Source organism: Homo sapiens, chromosome 10, assembly GCF_000001405.40.
Source record: "Homo sapiens chromosome 10, GRCh38.p14 Primary Assembly".
In the NCBI taxonomy this organism is placed as follows: domain Eukaryota; kingdom Metazoa; phylum Chordata; class Mammalia; order Primates; family Hominidae; genus Homo; species Homo sapiens.
In genome coordinates, this window is record NC_000010.11 from 21,347,880 (window position 1) to 21,365,343 (window position 17,464).

A 17,464-nucleotide genomic window follows, 5' to 3' on the forward strand; every position below is an offset into this window, starting at 1 on the left:
TTTCTGTTCATATTCCATCTGTGAGAGCTGGGTTGCATAGCCACAGTTTGCTGCAAAGTGGGACATGAGCCAGGGGAATGTAGCCCCTGGAAATGCAGCCAAAATCCGCAGTAGTGTTCTAATACTGAGGAAGAATGGGAGGATAGAGTGTGGTGGACAGATAACAGACTCCATCATCATTTTTCTTCACCTGGTCAATGGCTTTATGGATATGTTAGTCCATTTTGCATTGCTATAAAGGAATACCTGAGACTGGGTAATTTATAAAGAAAAGGAGGCTTATTATTTATTTATTTTTTATTTTTTTAGGACAGAGTCTCACTCTTCACCCAGGCTGGATTGCAGTAGCACGATCTCGGGTCACTGCAACCTCCACCTCCCAGGTACAAGCGATTCTCCTGCCTCGGCTTCCCAACTAGCTGAGATTACAGGTGCCCGCCACCACGCCCAGCTAATTTTTGTATTTTTAGTACAGATGGGGTTTCACCATGTTGTCCAGGCTGGTTTCAAACTCCCGACCTTCAGTGATCCGCCCACCTCGGCCTTCCAAAGTGCTGAGATTACAGGCGAGAGCCACCGCGCCCGGCCCAGAAAAGGGGTTTATTTGGCTGACAGTTCTGCAGGATGTACAAGCATGGCAGCAGCATCTGTTTGGCTTCTGGTAAGGGGTCAGGGAGCTTATAATCATGGAGGACCGTGACCTGGGAGCTGGCACGTCACATGGCAAGAGCAGAAGCAAGAGAGAGGAGGAGGAGATGCCAGACCCTAACAACCAGATCTGGCATGAAATCATTACTGTGGTGAGGGCACCAAGCCATTCATGAGGGATCCCCCCCCCAGGACCCAGACACCTCCTACGAGGTCCGACTTCCAACACTGGGGCTCACATTTCAACATGAGACGTGGAGGGGAGAAATATCCAAACTGTATCAATGGATAATATCTGACCCTTTTTTTGTTTGTTTGTTTGTTTTGGCTAAAGAAAGTGCCCAGTTTATTGCTAGACCAGACAAGTGTTTATTCCAAATTGTGATCAAGATAGAATAATTAAGTACTTTCCTTATATAATGAAAATTACCATTATCCTGTTAGTGCAATCAGTTTTCTGAGTTTATTGATACTGAATTAATATTAAAACAGGCTGGGCGTGGTAGCAGCTCATGCCTGTAATCCTAGCACTTTGGAAGCCTGAGGCAGAAGATCACTTGAGGTCAGGAGTTCGAGACTAGCCTGGGCTACATGGCGAAACTCCATCTGCACTAAAAATACAAAACTTAGCCAGGCATGGTGACACATGCATGTAGTCCCAGCTACTCGGGAGGCTTAGGAAGGAGAATCGCTTGAACCAGGGAGTCAGAGGTTGCAGTGAGTTGAGATCGTGCCACTGCATTCCAGCCTGGGTGACAGAGGGAGACTCCATCTCAAAAAAAAAAAAAAATTAAATTAGAATAAACAGATGTTAATAGGCAGCATGCATGTTTGATGTGCCTTTATTTTTCTTCTGCTTTAGGATAGTACTTCATTCTTAAGCATGTGAGTAAAGGAAGCAAAATAGTAGTAAGCTATATTGATGGTATGTAAAAGAAATATAGGAAAGGTTTACATTTCATTTGTTAGATCCCTGCCGAGTATTTTACGTGGTAGGGTATATAAAAATAATATTTTAGATTATTAAAACACCTTGATATTGGCTCATTTAATTACACTGTAAATTTTTCTCTAAAGGCAAGTATGGTATTTTATATTTTCTAACAATAATCCTATTCTTCCCTTTTCCTTATATTTTTCTTTGATATTTTCCTGATGTATTATAAAATTATTTTCAAGTATAAGACTGGTTTGTAAAAATACCTACATATTGTGTGAGATTATCACTATCATTTTTTTCTCTACTACCTTCTCATCAAATAAGGAAAGGCAAGAGTGATATAACAGTTGCCAAAGAAACAAAAGGCATCCCAGTTATTTCTGTGCTGGGATGGCTTTTGGCTTGCCGTTGCTGAAAAGCAAACAAGATATAGCCAAGAAATTGTGCCGTTGTTGCCTGGTTGGAAGGAAAGTTAGGGGCGCATATTCGGTTCAAGATGACCTTCAGGGAGGACCCAATGTCAGTGTCCTGCTAAGTCACACACAAGGAGAGAAAATCTATAATGACAGTTCAAGTCTTTCTTCCCACAGCAAATTGTGTCAGCCCTGCTATAAACAGTAAAAACAGCACAGGAAATATCTGACCCTTTTGCCATTGGTTAAGAGCTATTGCTAGCTCCTACTTGGCTAATAGCTTGAGTCTCTGAAAAACAAGGAATATTTCAGAAACCTCATTATGAGGAAGAGATACCTGCAATTTCCAGGTAAATGAAGCAAGTCTTGTACATGCCCAGATGGGACCAGGCCTCTGTTACATGAATCCTGGCAAGTTAAACAGGCTATATCTTCTTGTTTGAAGCAGCTAAGAATGTCCCGAGCTCACTGCAATGCTGGGAGGCCCCGGCACCGACTCTTGAGAAAACGTTTGAGACTAAACATGAAAGTTGCTCCCTAACCCGCAGTGTTATCATTGCAGTTGTTAACAAGATAAAGTAAATAAACCTAAACTCTCAGTGAACTTATTTCTCAGTTTATTGAATTGAATTTCCTGACATGCTGCGCTGGGTACCCAGAATACAAAGATGCACAAAGCCTGGTTCGGTGAGAGAGATGGTTATGGAGACAGACGATGACGGCAACTGAGAAACAGCATAGGCAGACCCCAATCCCAGAGGAGGAGCAAAGATATCTCCCTGGAGATCAGGGAGGGCTCACAGCCAGGGATGCTTGAGATCAGGCAGACAAGAGGCACGCCTATGTTTAACTCAGAAAACAATGAAAAGTTTGCTGGCTGGGCTTGGTGACTCACTCCTGTAATCCCAGCACTTTGGGAGACCAAGGCAGGCAGATCACAAGGTCAGGAGTTCCAGACCAGCCTGGCCAATATGGTGAAACCTCATCTCTACTAAAAATACAAAAATTAGCTGGGCATGGTGGCAGGTGCCTGCAGTCCCAGCTACTCGGGAGGCTGAGGCAGGAGAATTGCTTGAACCTGGGAGGCGGAGGTTGTAGTGGACCGAGACTGTGCCATTGCACTCCAGCCTGGGTGAAAGAGCAAGGCTCTGTCTTGAAAAAAAAAAAAAAGGACCGTTTGCATATGACTTGTGGGATAACCTTTTCTAGGGGGCAGCAGTTTCATTGGAAAGTTAAATAACAGTTATAATGACTACCATTTTGTTGCGGGAAGTCAGGGACTCCAAACGGAGGGACAGGCTGGAGCCATGGCAGAGGAACATAAACTGTGAAGATTTCATTTTAATATGGACATTTATCAGTTCCCAAATAGTACTTTTATAATTTCTTATGCCTGTCTTCTTCGATCTCTTAATCCTGTTATCTTCATAAGCTGAGGATGTACGTCACCTCAGGACCACTGTGATCATTGTGTTAACTGTACAAATTGATTGTAAAACGTGTGTGTTTGAACAATATGAAATCAGTGCACCTTGAAAAAGAACAGAATAACAGCGATTTTTAGGGAACAAGGGAAGACAATCATAAGGTCTGACTGTCTGCGGGGTCAGGCAAAAAGAGCCATATTTTTCTTCTTGCAAAGAGCCTATAAATGGACATGCAAGTAGGGAAGATATCACTAAATTCTTCTCCTAGCAAAGAATATTAATATTAATACCCTGGGGAAGGAATGCATTTCTGGGGGGGAAGTCTGTAAATGACTACGCTGGGAATGTCTGTCCTATGTGGTTGAGATAAGGACTGAGATACACAGTGGTCTCCTGCAGTACCCTCAGGCTTACTAGGGTGGGGAAAAACCCAGCCCTGGTAAATTTGTGGTCAGACTGGTTCTCTGCTCTCAAACGCTATTTTCTGTTGTTTAAGATGTTTATCAAGACAATACATGCACCACTGAACATAGACCCTTATCAGTAGTTCTGCTTTTGCCCTTTGCCTGGTGATCTTTGTTAGACCCTTATCAGTAGTTCTCCTTTCTGCCCTTTGAAGCATGTGATCTACTCCCTGTTCTTACACCTGCTCCCCTTTTGAAACCCTTAATAAAAAACTTGCTGGTTTGAGGCTCAGGTGGGCATCATGGTCCTACCGATATGTGATGTCACCCCTGGCAGCCCAGCTGTAAAATTCCTCTCTTTGTACTCTTTCTCTTTATTTCTCAGCTGGCCAACACTTATGGAAGATAGAAAGAACCTATGTTGAAATATTGGGGGTGGGTTCCTCTGATACCATTTATTGAGCTAGGCTACTGTACTAAGCTAGATATAAATACAGATATATAAAATTAGTTTACTAGAGCTACCATAACAAAATCATTAACTGGGTGACTTAAACAATAGAATTTTATTTTTCTTCCAGTTCTAGAGGCTGAAAATCCAAGATCAAGGTGGTGAGCAGGGCTGGTTTCCTCTGAGGCCTCCCTCCTTGGCTTGTAGATGGCTGCCTTCTTGCTGCTTCTTCATGCGGCTGTCCCTCTGTGCACGTATGCCCCTGCTGTCCCTCTGTGTATCCTAGTCTCCTCTTCTTATAAGGACACCAGTCCATTTGGGTCTTGTTTTTGTTTTTGTTTTGCTTTGTTTTGCTTTTTGAGATAGTCTCACTCTGTCACCCAGGCTGGAGTGCAAGGGCACCATCTCAGCTCATTGCAACCTCTGCCTCCCGGGTTCAAGTGATTCTCCTGCCTCAGCCTCCCGAGTAGCTGGGATTACAGGCATGTGCCACCACACCCAGATAATTTTGTATTTTTTAGTAGGGACGGGGTTTTGCTATGTTGGCCAGGCTGATCTTGAACTCCTGACCTCAAGTGATCTTCCTGCCTCGGCCTCCCAAAATGCTGAGATTACAGGCGTGAGCCACTGCACCTGGCTGACACCAGTCCATTTGGATTAGAGCCCCCCTTGAGCTTCATTTTAACTTAATTACCTCTTTAAAGATCCTATCTCCAAATATAATCACATTCTGAGATAGAGGGGGTTAGGGCTTCAATATAGGAATTTTGGGAGCACATATTTCAGCTTATAACACATATGTGTGCATGTATATACTTAAACATATAATTTTATCTTCAACCACCCTATAATGGTCCTGTCATTCCATTTTACAGATGAGGAACTGATGCTCAGAAAGGCTTAATAATTAGCCCAATGTCACCTAATTAATAAGTGTCAGGAAATGTAAACTTAGGACTGTCTGACTGCAAAGCCCAGGCTTTTAACCACCATGCTATACTTTGAAGGGAGAGAAAAATAAGTAGCAGTTATAAAAATTCTTCTGTGTTACCTGGTATCCGTTTGCACACTCAGCCATGCCATTAATTGGCCCAACATTTATTGTGTGCTTATGATGTATCCCAGGTAACAGGAGAAGTTGTGACTCTTTCATGAGAGAGTTGCAGAATTAAATTGGAAATAATTTTAATATCTGGAAGAACTGTGCAGTTCTCCCAGACAGGAAACCTACTTGGGGGGAGCGGTTAGAATTCTATCAGGTTCAGGGATATTCAGAGCTAGTATCCAAAATCCAATCAGTGGATGTGGGCTTATAGACACTGTAAAGAGATAGTAGAAGATTTGGTAATGTAAAACTTGAACTTAAAGGATGTGAAATTATGTGGCCACCTTTTGTAAGTTATGGAATCACTGACATAGCACCTAGGGTAGGGCTCAAGGTATTCCTACTCTATTGTAGACATGGATTCTGTCACACCTTCCCAAAAAATTATCTTGGGAAGGCAATCCCTAACTGTGATTGTTCTTTAGTGGGCAAGAATATTTAACCATGAGAGGATTCAAAATGAAATATACAAATGTTTAAGAGTACCAGGCGCAGTGGCTCACGCCTATAAACCCAACATTTTGGGAGGCCGAGGTGGGTGGATTACTTGACGTCAGGAGTTCAAGACCAGCCTGGCCAACATGGTGAAACCCCATCTCTACTAGAAATACAAAAATCAGCTGGGCATAGTGGCAGGTGCCTGTAGTCCCAGCTACTTGGGAGACTGCAGCAGGAGTATTGCTTGAACCCAGGAGGCAGAGGTTGCAGTGAGCCAAGACTGTGCCACTGTACTCTAGCCTGGGCAACAGAGCAAGACCCTATCTCAAAAAAGAAAGAAAGAAAGAAAGAAAGAAAGAAAGAAAGAAAGAAATTTTTAAGAGAGTGAAACTTGTACTACTAATATCTTGATATTAAGGAATCTGGAAGTATTAATAATATAGTACTTATAATATTTGTTATGGACTATTTGTTCCCCCCAAAAATTCATATGTTGAAATCTTTTTTATATAAATATATATATATATTTGGGTTTCTGTGGGTTTTTTTCAGTAGAGACAGGGTCTCACTCCGGTCTGAGTGCAGTGGCACGATCATAGCTCACTGCAGCCGCAAACTCCTGGGCTCAAACCATCCTCCCACCTCAGCCTCCTGGTAGCTGGGACTGCAGGCACACACTACCACTGTTGGCTACTTTATAAATTTTTTTTAGAAATGGGAGTTTTTCTATGTTACCCAGACTGGTTTCAAACTCCTGGGCTCAAGAGATCATCCCTTCTCGTCACCAAAAGTGTTAGGATTACACACGTGAGCCACCATACCCAGCCTAGACTTACAATTTTAAGTCGAAAGTTTACTACGTTTTATGTAATATTGGCACTTAGAATTAAGGCTGGCTATATAGTCATGTTTAACGATTAGATTTATAAAAATTAAACATTTTAGTCAGGCAAGTTGGCACACACCTGTAATTCCAGTTACTCAAGGAGGCTGAGGCAGGAGGATCACTTGAGGTCAGGAGTTCAAGACCAGCCTGAGCAACATAGCAAGGCCCACCATCTCAAGAAAAGAAACAGATAATTAAACCTTTTGGAAAGTTTAACAGCCAGACATCTGAGTTACTTTAAAGGGAAATAAATACATTGATGGGTTATTATTGCAGTTTCAAATAAGTGAAAGTTTAGATGTGTAAATGGGACCAAATATTAATCAAAGGTGCCCCTCCTACAGTGTTGTGATTTGCTAGATTTATAAACAGAAATTTCTAAATTGACCTGAAAAGAGCTTGATTTTTTTATATGTAACCTAAATAAATGGCAATTTTTAAAATCAAAGTAAACCCCTGAAGAAGCTTTCTGTGGACAAAGCAGAAAAAGTGTAGTTGGAACCTAAGAAAGGAGGCATCTAAACTGGGAGTCAGGGGAAAGCTTTACAGAGGAAGAACTGAAGATAGGTATGAGTTTGTCCAGCAAATTAAATAGGGGAGGTCAGTGCATCCAGGTAGAGGCAAAGAAATATAGGGCCAGGCGTGGTGGTTCACACCTGTAATCCCAGCATTTTGGAAGGCTGAGGCGGGCGGATCACTTAAGGTCAGGAGTTCAAGACCAGCCTGGCCAACATGATGAAACCCCGTCTCTACTAAAAATACAGAAATTAGCCAGGCATGGTGGCGGGCGCCTGTAATCCCAGCTACTCGGGAGCCTGAGGCAGAAGAATCGCTTGATCCTAGAGGCGGAGGTTGCAGTGAGCCGAGATCTTACCACTGCATTCCAGCCTGGACAACAGAGCAAGACTCTGTCTCAAACAAACAAACAAACAAACAAAAAGAAAGAAAGAGAAAGAAAGAAAGAAAGATACGAACAACAGCTACAAGTAGTTCAGCATTCCTGAGTCAAAAATCAAGCTGGGAAACAGGTCCCAGTGATGTCAGCTAGGTAGGTAGGGGCCAAGTCATGAAGGGACATGTGTCCCAGGTAAAGGCATTTCTGTTTTAACCTGTAGGCAATGGTAAGACATTGAAGAATTTCCCTCACATTTGATCTGATTTGCCTGGTTTGGAGCTCACAGTTGAAAAATAAAGTGAAACAACACTAAAGACAGGAAAACGACTGAAGTCTAGATAAGTGATTTTGGAGTGTGGGAGGGAAAATGAGGACAGAAAAAATAAAATCAAGCTAAGGGCAAAATGCATACCTGAAGTACATTCTCGTGAGTCATGGATACATTGCTAGCAGTAAGCTGCAAAATTTATCAAATGGCAAGGAAGGAAGAAGAGAGAGAGAGAATGAAGCTGACTCAGAAATTGAGGGGAGAGAATTGGGCTAGAAATGTGTTTTAGGCATCAAGAACAAATAGATGGTAATTTTTGAAGCCATGAGTATAAATGAGATTTTCCAAAGAGTGTGCAGAGAATAAAGAAGAGAAAAAGGCTAAGGATAAAATCAGGGGGAAAGTCAACATTGAAAGTGTAGGGAGCAGAAAAAAAATTGGGTCAAGGTAATTGTGAAAGTTCAGCCCAAGAAGTAGGAGTGACCATTCAGAAGCATGAGGTATGAGGGTATCACAGGAGCTGGGGTTTTCAGAAGGTGGAAGAAACTGGGCACAGTGAACTTGAACTTGGGCTAGGTGTTCAAGCCAGAAGTTTGAGACCAGCCTGGACAACATAACAAGACACCATCTCTAAAAAAAAAAGAAAAAGGGAGGCCGAGGCGGGCAGATCATGAGGTCAGGAGATCGAGACCATCCTGCCAAGTTGATGAAACCCCGTCTCTACTAAAATACAAAAAATTAGCCAGGCGTGATGGCGCACACCTGTAGTCCCAGCTACTCAGAAAGCTGAGGCAAGGGAATCACTTGAATTCGGGAGGCGGAGGTTGCAGTGAGCTGAGATTGCGCCATTGCATTCTAGACTGGCAACAGAGCGAGACTCCATCTCAAAAAAAAAAAAAAAAAAGGTGGAAGGAAGTGTGCGCAGATGTTACCAAGAAGACCCCTAATACAAAAACTAGTATTGTAAGGATCTATCCAGCCAGGTTTGGGAAGACTGCCCTTCCCTTACCTGTGTAACATTTCTAAAAATAATAAAGGAAGCTAGGCCTGGCGGCTCGCTCCTGTAATCTCAGCACTTTTGGGAGGCCAAGGCGGAAGCACTTCTTGAGCCCAGGAGTTCGAGGCTAGCATAGGCAACATAGTAAGACCCCATCTCTACAAAAAACTTAAAAATTGTCCAAGCGTGGTGGCACATACCTGTAGTCCTAGCTACTCTGGAGATTGAGTGGGGAGGATGGCTTGAGCCCAGGAGATGGAGGCTGCAGGGAGCTATCATGGTGCCACTGCCCTCCAGCCTGGGCAATAGAGTGAGAGTGAGACTGTCTCTAAAAAGTAAACAAATAATAATAAAGGGGAAAAGGGTTTTCTCTGCTTTCAAATTGCCTCCTTCTATTCTCCTTATAGGCATGAGATCCATTAAGCTCCTTGACCAACAAACAGTCTTTGGTCAGTGAACCCGCAGTAACATTCAATCCCTATGTCTACCTCTGCCTTTAAGAAACTCATCCCATCCTTGGCTTCAGCCCTTTGCTGGTTTAGCCCTCATCCCTCCCTTTCGCTCCCACTTCCCCACCTTTCTGCCCTCTCTTCTCCCTCATACCCACTCTCTGCAGGCATTTCTCTAGGCTCAGTGTTCAGCCCTCTGTTCATCTCGTTCTATACTCCTGGAATAATTCTGCTGGACTGATTTGATTTCCTTCTTTAGCTATAATTTTGTGGCAGATATTTCCCAGAAATCATAAAATGTTGCTATTGTTGTTCAATACATCATTGCAGGGAAAGAACCGCTGGATGTATATGTCCCACATTCAAAATCACAGATACAAAGTGCTGCACATACCTCATCCATTATTCCCCTATTCTCTTGCTCTATTATTATTTCCAAGTAGCTCTAGGCAGCTTGGTGCTTCCAAGCTTCTGGGACTGTGGGCAGGAATAATAATGACTTATCCAACTGCAGCAACAAATCCAACTGCACAACCACTATTCCTGCAAGTGAGCTGAAAATGTATGGTGGTGCCTGCTAGACCTCACCCCTGAGAATGCACTGCATTCGCCAGACTCATATTGTCAGCCCTACCCATGCAAGTGGGGACATAGTATCAGCCTCTTCTAGTTATAATTTTAGCATATTTCATTGATTCTAAGGCTTACATATTGTTCACATTATAACTTCAGAAATTGAGATGCACTCTACATTTACATTTTTATTGATATTGGAATATAAAATAATGATGTGTTTTATAATCTACGGTGTCACGTATCTGATGAAATTTGCGTATTTGAAGAACAAGATGTAAAAATAAATTAGTTTCATCTATTGTACAACATGGTGACTATAGTTAATAATATTGACTTGTTTTTGGTTTTTTGGTTTTTTGGCTTTTTTAAGAGATGGGGTCTCGCTATATGGCTCAGCCTGGAGTACAGTGGCTATTCACAGGTGTGATCATAGTACACTACAGAGCCTCAAACTCCTAGGCTCGAGCGATCCTCTCCCTCAGCTGGGACTCCCAGGTAGCTGGGACTACAGGCATAGGCAAATTGTATTTTGAAAATTGCTAAGAGAGTAGATTTTATGCTCCTACTACAAAAACTAATAAGTAAGGTAATGTACATGTTAATTAGCTCAACCAAGCCATTCCACAATGTTTACATATTACAAAGTGTCATGTGGTACACAAAAAATCTACACAATTTTATTTGTTAAATTTTTTAAGTGTTTTCTTTTTGTTTTGTTTTGTTTTGTTTTATTCTGAGATGGAGTCTCGCTCTGTCACCCAGGCTGGAGGGCAGTGGCGCAATCTCGGCTCACTGCAATCTTCACCCCCAGGTTCAAGCAATTCTCCTACCTCAGCCTCCTGAGTAGCTGGGATTACAGGTACGTGCCACCACACCCAGCTAATTTTTGTATTTTTAGTACAGATGAGGTTTCACCATGTTGGCCAGGATGGTCTTGATCTCCTGACCCCATGATCTGCCCGCCTCAACCTCCCAAAGTGCTGGGATTACAGGCGTGAGCCACCACACCCGGCTATTTGTCAAAAATTTTTTTTTTCCCAAGATGGAGTCTTGCACTGTCACTCAGGCTGGAGGGCAGTGGGGTGATCTTGTCTCACTGCAACCTCCACCTCCCGGGTTCATGCGATTCTCCTACCTCAGCCTCCCAAGTAGCTGGATTACAGGTGAGAGCCACCGCGCCCGGCCTTAATTGTATTTTTAAAATAAATTAGTTTCACTTTGGAAGACAATAAGCACAGTGTTTAAAAGGTAGGTTTAAAGTCAGACACACTGGGCTTAAATTTCAGCTCTGACACTTACTAGCTCTAATAACTAGAAAAAGTTGCTTCATCTCTCCAAGTCTCCATTTTTCTAACCTGAAAACTTGGACTAAGAGACTGGCATTATCTACCTCATAGGGTTTTCAGAGGTTCAAACCCTATTGTATGATGTGCTTAAGACAATGCCTGGCAGCTGGTAAATGCTCTGTCTGCTACATCCCAGTCTTCTTGTATTTGTCAAAAGGAAAAGCTGTAAGACGTATAGGAACAACACTGGATTTGTATTTTGACTGAACCAGGCAAACAACTCTCTCATGAATCTAATCAAAGAGAGAGAAAAAATAAACAGCCCATAATTCAGGGTTGAATAGAGTCATAAAACAGGCAAAGCAAATTCTCATGCTTGTAAATCATAGGCAAAGTTTCTACAGTAGTAGATCAATGCCATTTCTTCTTCCCTACCTCACACTACTGAAAATGGTACAGGGCATACGTCACATATTAAAACCAAATTTACTCAGTATGAAGATAGCCCCCTTCCCTCTGTGAGATTACCCAGTCAGCATTCTGCAGCTTACTAAGCTGACTACAGTCAATCAGAATCAAGATATTTACCAAAATCTCTAGGTTTTATTTTAAGGGAAAAGATATAAAGCTGCATACAATATAGTCTGATTTTCACAAATATACATATATTCATAAAGAACTGAAATGATATATACCAAGTTGCTTGCTGTATGGTAAGATTATGAAATTTTTTGTTTTATCTTTTCATTTTTAATTTGTTCATAACTGAGATAAACTACTGTGGTAAAAAAAAAACAAATCGTTTAATCTTTTTATTTATTTTATTATTTATTTATTTATTCATTTATAATTTTTGAAACAGGGTCTCACTCTGTTGCCTAAGCTGGAGTGCAGAGGCACGATCTTGGCTCACTGCAACCTCCACCACCTTGGTTCAAGCAATCCACCCACCTCAGCCTCCTAAGTAGCTGGGACCACAGGTGTGCACCACCACACCTGGCTAATTTTTTTATTTTTTGGTAGGGACAGGATTTCACCATGTTGGCCAGGCTGGTCTCAAACTCCTGGCCTCAAGTGATCTGCCTGCCTCAGCCTCCCAAAGTGCTGGGATTACAGGCATAAAGCACTGGGCTCAGCTAATCTTTTTTATATTATAAAAGAAAAAAGAATAACTTGTTTTTCACAGGATTTAGGAGAGATTCTCTTTAGCTGATGTCCCAGAGGTTATTTTTATAAACTTAAACACACACTTTGGAGACATTAATTCAGCATTTCTTATGAAGACTATTAAGTAGTCCCCTGCAAGCTATTGCAGGATAGACACATAGTGGTGATGCATTCATACTAACTAATGAAAGTTTCACTCTAGCAGCTCAGAGTAAACCAGAGTCTTCTAAGCAGGCTAAGTGAATTCAGCATAGAAGAGACAAAATAATCAGCTTACAAGGGCACTGCTTGGGGTAACTATTTTCTTTTGGAGTGTGTAGGAAAAGAATTCTTTTTAAAAAATTAACAGTGGCTGGGCATAGTGGCTCACACCTGTAATCCCAGCACTTTGGGGGGCCAAGGTGGGTGGACCACCTAAGGTCAGGAATTCAAGACCAGCCGGGCCAACATGGTGAAACCCCATCTCTACTAAAATCCAAAAATTAGTGAGGTGTGGTGTCTTACACCTGTAATCCCAGTTACTGGGGAGGCTGAGGCAGGAGAATCGCTTGAACCCAAGAAGCAGAGGCTGCAGTGAGCCGAGATCATGCCATTGCACTCTTGCCTGGGTGACTGAGCGAAACTCTGTCTAAGAAAAAACAAAAAAGGCAGAAACAGCAGCAATGCAAAGTAATATTAGTATCTGTTGTCCAACATGCCTTACTAAATAGACAAACAGTAGTAGTTAAAACCAAGAAATCTGCTTCTTTCCTGGTGTCATCTGTATATTGGTACAGGTATAAACTGAACTGCTTGTATTAGTCCACTCTCACACTGCTATAAAGTTACTATCCGAGATTGGGTAATTCGTAAACAAAGGAGGTTTAATGGACTCACAGTTCCACATGGCCGGGGAGGCCTCAGGAAACTTACAATCACGGTAGGAGGGGAAGCAGATACCTTCCTCACAAGGCGACAGGAGGAAGGAGAGCAGGGGAAACCTCCACTTACAAAACCATCAGATCTCATGAGAACTCACTCACTATCAGGAGAACAGCATGGGGAAAACCGGCCCCAAGATCCAATCACCTCCTACCAGATCCTTCCCCCGACAAATAGGGATTACAATTCAAGATGAGATTTGGGTGGGGACACATCCAAACCATATCACTGCTATAAGAAAGGGACCCCAAAATGATGACCCCTACAGAAGGGCTGCGTGCAGTGGCTGATGCCTGTAATCCTAGCACTTTAGGAGGCCAACGCGGGTGGATCACCTGAGATCAGGAGTTCGAGACCAGCCTGACCAGCGTGGTGAAACCCCATCTATACTAAAAACACAAAATTAGCCAGGTGTGGTGGTGCATGCCTGTAATCCCAGCTACTTGGAAGGCTGAGGCAGGAGAATCGCTTGAACCCAGGAGGCAGAGGTTGCAGTGAGCCGAGATCCCAACATTGCACTACAGCCTGGGCAAGAAGAGCGAAACTCTGTCTCAAAAAAAAAAAAAAAAAAAAATTAGCCTGGTGTGGTGGTGCATGCCTGTAGTCCTAGCTACTCAAGAGGCTGAAGCGGAAGGATCGCTTGAGCCCAGGAGTTTGAGGCTACAGTGAGCTATGAATGCACCACTGCACTCCAGCCTGGGTGACAGAGAGAGACCCTGTCTCAAAATAAATAAATGAGTAAATAAATAAATAAACTATACAGAAGTTCATTCTGGTGTCATTTCCAGAGGTGAGCGCAGTGGGGTACAGGGTGGTGAGGCCACTCTGCTCCAGGAGGTCCTCATTCTCATTGTTCCACCACCTGGTAGGGAGGGATCCTTGCCTGAATGGTCAGACTGGCTCACCATAGCATCTGCATTCCTTCCCAAAGGAGGGGAAAGGGGGAGGAAGTCAAAGGTGAGCAATTTCTCTTTAAGAAAATGATGTGGAAGTTGCACACCTCACTTCAACTCACAACCCAGTGGTAAGAACTTAGATAGCCTCAACTGTTTGTAAAAAAGAGGCTGAGCACTGTAGCCTCTACCTGGGAACTCTAGCCTCTACCTGCTAAACCTCAGGGAGAGGGGTGTACACACCAAAAGAAAGGAGGGGAGGCTGGCTGCTAGTCCATAGTTGCAATTTATGCTACAAAGAGCCTTTATTTATTTATTTTTTTTTTTTAGAGATAGCATCTCACTGTCACCCAGGCTGCAGTACAGTGCTGCAATTATAACTCACTGCAGCCTCAGTCTCCTGGGTTGGGATCCTCCCACCCCAGCCTCCCAGTAGCTGGGACTACAGGTGCATACCACCATGCCTGGCTAATTTTTTTTTTTTTTTTTTGTGGTAGAGATGGAGGTCTCACTATGTTGTCCAAGCTGGTCTCAAAGTCCTGGCCTCAAGCAATCCTCCCACCTCAGCTTCCCAAAATTCTGGGATTATAGGCATGAGCCACTGCACCAGGCCCAAATACACATTTTAAACGGCATGTTTCTAACTCAATTTTTATTTTTTTTCTTTTGGAGACAGACGTTTGCTTTGTTACCCAGACTGGAGTACAGTGGTGTCAAATCAGCTCACTGCAACCTCCACCACCCCAGTTCAAGCAATACACCCACCTCAGCTTCCCAAGTAGCTGGGACCACAGGCATGCACCACCATGCCCAGCTAATTTTTTATATTTTTAGTAGAGACGGGGTTTCGCCATGTTGGTCAGGCTGGTCTTGAACTCCCGGCCTCAAGTGATCTGCCCGCCTCAGCTTCCCAAAGTGTTGGGATTACAGGCATGTGCCACTGCGCCTGGCTTCTAACTTAAAATTTTATATTCTTTTCTGTCTACCCACTTTCAAAATATGATTGATGAGGCACAGCCAGAGGCCACCAGAAGCTGGAAAGGCAAGGTTCCTCCCCTAGAGCCTCTGAAGGGAGTGCAGCCCTGCCCGTACCTTGATTTCAGCCCAGTAACACTGATTTTGGACTTCCAGCCTCCAGATCTATGAGGGGATAAGTTTCTGTTGTAAACGACTCAGTTGTAGTAATTTGTTACAGAAGCCACAGGAAGTGAATACAGTGACACTGTCTGTGACTTTGGCCTTGGAAATTTTTTCATAGCCATGGCCCTGAGCCAAAATGTTCCATCCTGATTCTAACTTAACCTATAAATTGGAGTTAGTGATTTGAATCTAGCTGAGCATTTACCTAACAAAAAGAAGTCTCTAAATCTTTCTAAGCAAAAGGAGTGGGCTGTCATTGATATTTAGTTTCCTAAAACCCAGTATAAACAAGGGTGCCCTGTTTGGGGAATTCGAGGGTAGAAAGAGAGAAGAAAATTCTCAAAGTTCATTTTTACTCATTAACTCCTCCCATAATATTCACTGGACACCTGCCATGGGCCAGGCACTGAGCTTGGAACTGGGAAACAACCATGTATATAAAACAAAGTTCCCCCGAGTGGCTCTCAGTCTAGTTCAGCTTTCAGGGAGGGAGAGAGAAAAAGAAAGAAGGCCAAGATGGATACATAAATCTGAGAAACTCACTTTATAAAACGATGCGCAAAACTATGTGAAATACTCCATGACATTTCTCTAAACCTTATAATACCATCTGTGAACAAAACAAATGTTTTGGGCAAAAAAAGAAGCCTTCCTGAATGTGGAAATCAAGCCAGGAAGAAGGTCAGCATGTTACCTGACACAGAACAAGCCCCAGGGCAGACACAGAAATGAAGCAACCCAAAGCACAAGACATTAAGAGGGAATAAAAAAAAAAAAAAGCACAGCACAGTATGTGAGGCAAAGGACCTCAAAATCATATATAAAAGACACAAACATGTATGAGTTTATTAATTTCCGAAGCTGAAATCTTTTTCTCAACTGAGTCAAATGAATTAAAAACTAAATTACCATATTCATCAAGCCATCTACATAAAACAATTTCCCTACATTTAAAACCGACTGCAACCCAAATTCTGCTAGAGGTTGTCAGTCTGAAGCTCACACAATTATCTTCATATATCGGGGGTGAGGGGAGTCGTAATAATCTAGGGCACAAACCTGAATTGCCCAAGGGAACTGACTACATAATCAAATTATCCAGTTCAAAGGGCAAGTTGTATAATTCAAGACCGTAAAGTAAAAGTCCTCCTGTGTTGTTTAATAGTAAGTTTCCATTGCTGACTATTTTCGTGTGAAATTACCTTGCTTCTCCATTTTCTTTTGCATTTTTAGACACAATCAGTGGAAATTTTTTCCACTGGAAAGTAGCAAAGTGACAAGCATTCTTGCTAAAGAAATCTAGTATCACACATTCTGACAAATCTCTTTGGAATCCTCACTTCATTCAAAGATTCAAGCTCGCCTGGCAGACCGGTGGGACAGGCCAGCAGGAATCCTATTTGCCTTAGGGCCTGAATAGCTTCCTGGGAAATTCTGCCACCCAAGGGAAGCTCTCAAAGGTCAGACGTCAGCTTGGCCCAGTAACAATGACTCCCTGGTCCCAGAGGAAGGGTGATTCTGAGTGCAGCCGGATCTGTGAATTAGATTTGTTCACTAGCCCAGCCCCCATGGACTCATGTCAGAATCTTAGAGAGGGGTCTAAAAAACTACAACAGCAGTTTTTACTAAAATTCACTGATCAACTTTGACATCACTGGAAGTAGAAAGCCAGACATTATGTGTCTCTTGACGAGGTGCATGGGAAAGTCCGCTGCATCACCAAAAAAGTAATAACAATAATAACTGAATCAGAATCTCATCAAGCCTCCAGGCCTCATTATCACCAGTTTACAGGAATAGAAGGAGCCTAGGAGCATTGTTGAACAACACCATGATAACGCAATCAGCCAAATCCAGGATGTGGAAAATTCCACAGGACAAATGATCAGCTTCCTTTACCAAATACAGAGTTCTAAAATGGGATAGTAAGAATTATTGTAGGTAGCAAGAGACTCAGGAGACATAACCAACTACATGTGTGTACTGTCTTTAGATCCAGATTCAAACAAACCATCTGCGCAAAGATATTTGTGAGACAATTGGAGAAAATGGAACATACACTGAGAATTAGGTAATGTTAAGAAATTATTGGGGGATTTTTAGGGATGATAATATTATTGGGCTTATATTGGGAGAAGAGTCCTTTGCCTTTTAAAGATA

At 42.6% G+C, this 17,464-nt stretch overlaps 1 long non-coding RNA gene across 1 annotated transcript in view, besides 3 other annotated features; it reads right to left on the reverse strand.

Annotated features, from left to right (window-relative positions):
* LINC02643 (long intergenic non-protein coding RNA 2643) overlaps nucleotides 1-17,464 on the reverse strand; it is a 32,718-nt gene that overhangs the window by 7,647 nt on the left and 7,607 nt on the right. The window contains exon 4 of the long non-coding RNA NR_155751.1: nucleotides 6,792-6,885. This is a non-coding gene — a long non-coding RNA (long intergenic non-protein coding RNA 2643). The remainder of the gene's footprint in view (nucleotides 1-6,791; nucleotides 6,886-17,464) is intronic.
* Nucleotides 8,259-8,758: an enhancer, noted in NCBI's record as "H3K27ac hESC enhancer chr10:21645067-21645566 (GRCh37/hg19 assembly coordinates)". NCBI's record gives its function as "activates a minimal SCP1, AML or CMV promoter by ChIP-STARR-seq in naive H9 embryonic stem cells {active_cell/tissue: H9 hESC(naive)}" and the evidence as "EXISTENCE:reporter gene assay evidence [ECO:0000049][PMID:30033119]".
* Nucleotides 14,791-15,388: an enhancer, noted in NCBI's record as "H3K27ac hESC enhancer chr10:21651599-21652196 (GRCh37/hg19 assembly coordinates)". NCBI's record gives its function as "activates a minimal SCP1, AML or CMV promoter by ChIP-STARR-seq in naive and primed H9 embryonic stem cells {active_cell/tissue: H9 hESC(naive and primed)}" and the evidence as "EXISTENCE:reporter gene assay evidence [ECO:0000049][PMID:30033119]".
* Nucleotides 15,389-15,984: an enhancer, noted in NCBI's record as "H3K27ac hESC enhancer chr10:21652197-21652792 (GRCh37/hg19 assembly coordinates)". NCBI's record gives its function as "activates a minimal SCP1, AML or CMV promoter by ChIP-STARR-seq in naive H9 embryonic stem cells {active_cell/tissue: H9 hESC(naive)}" and the evidence as "EXISTENCE:reporter gene assay evidence [ECO:0000049][PMID:30033119]".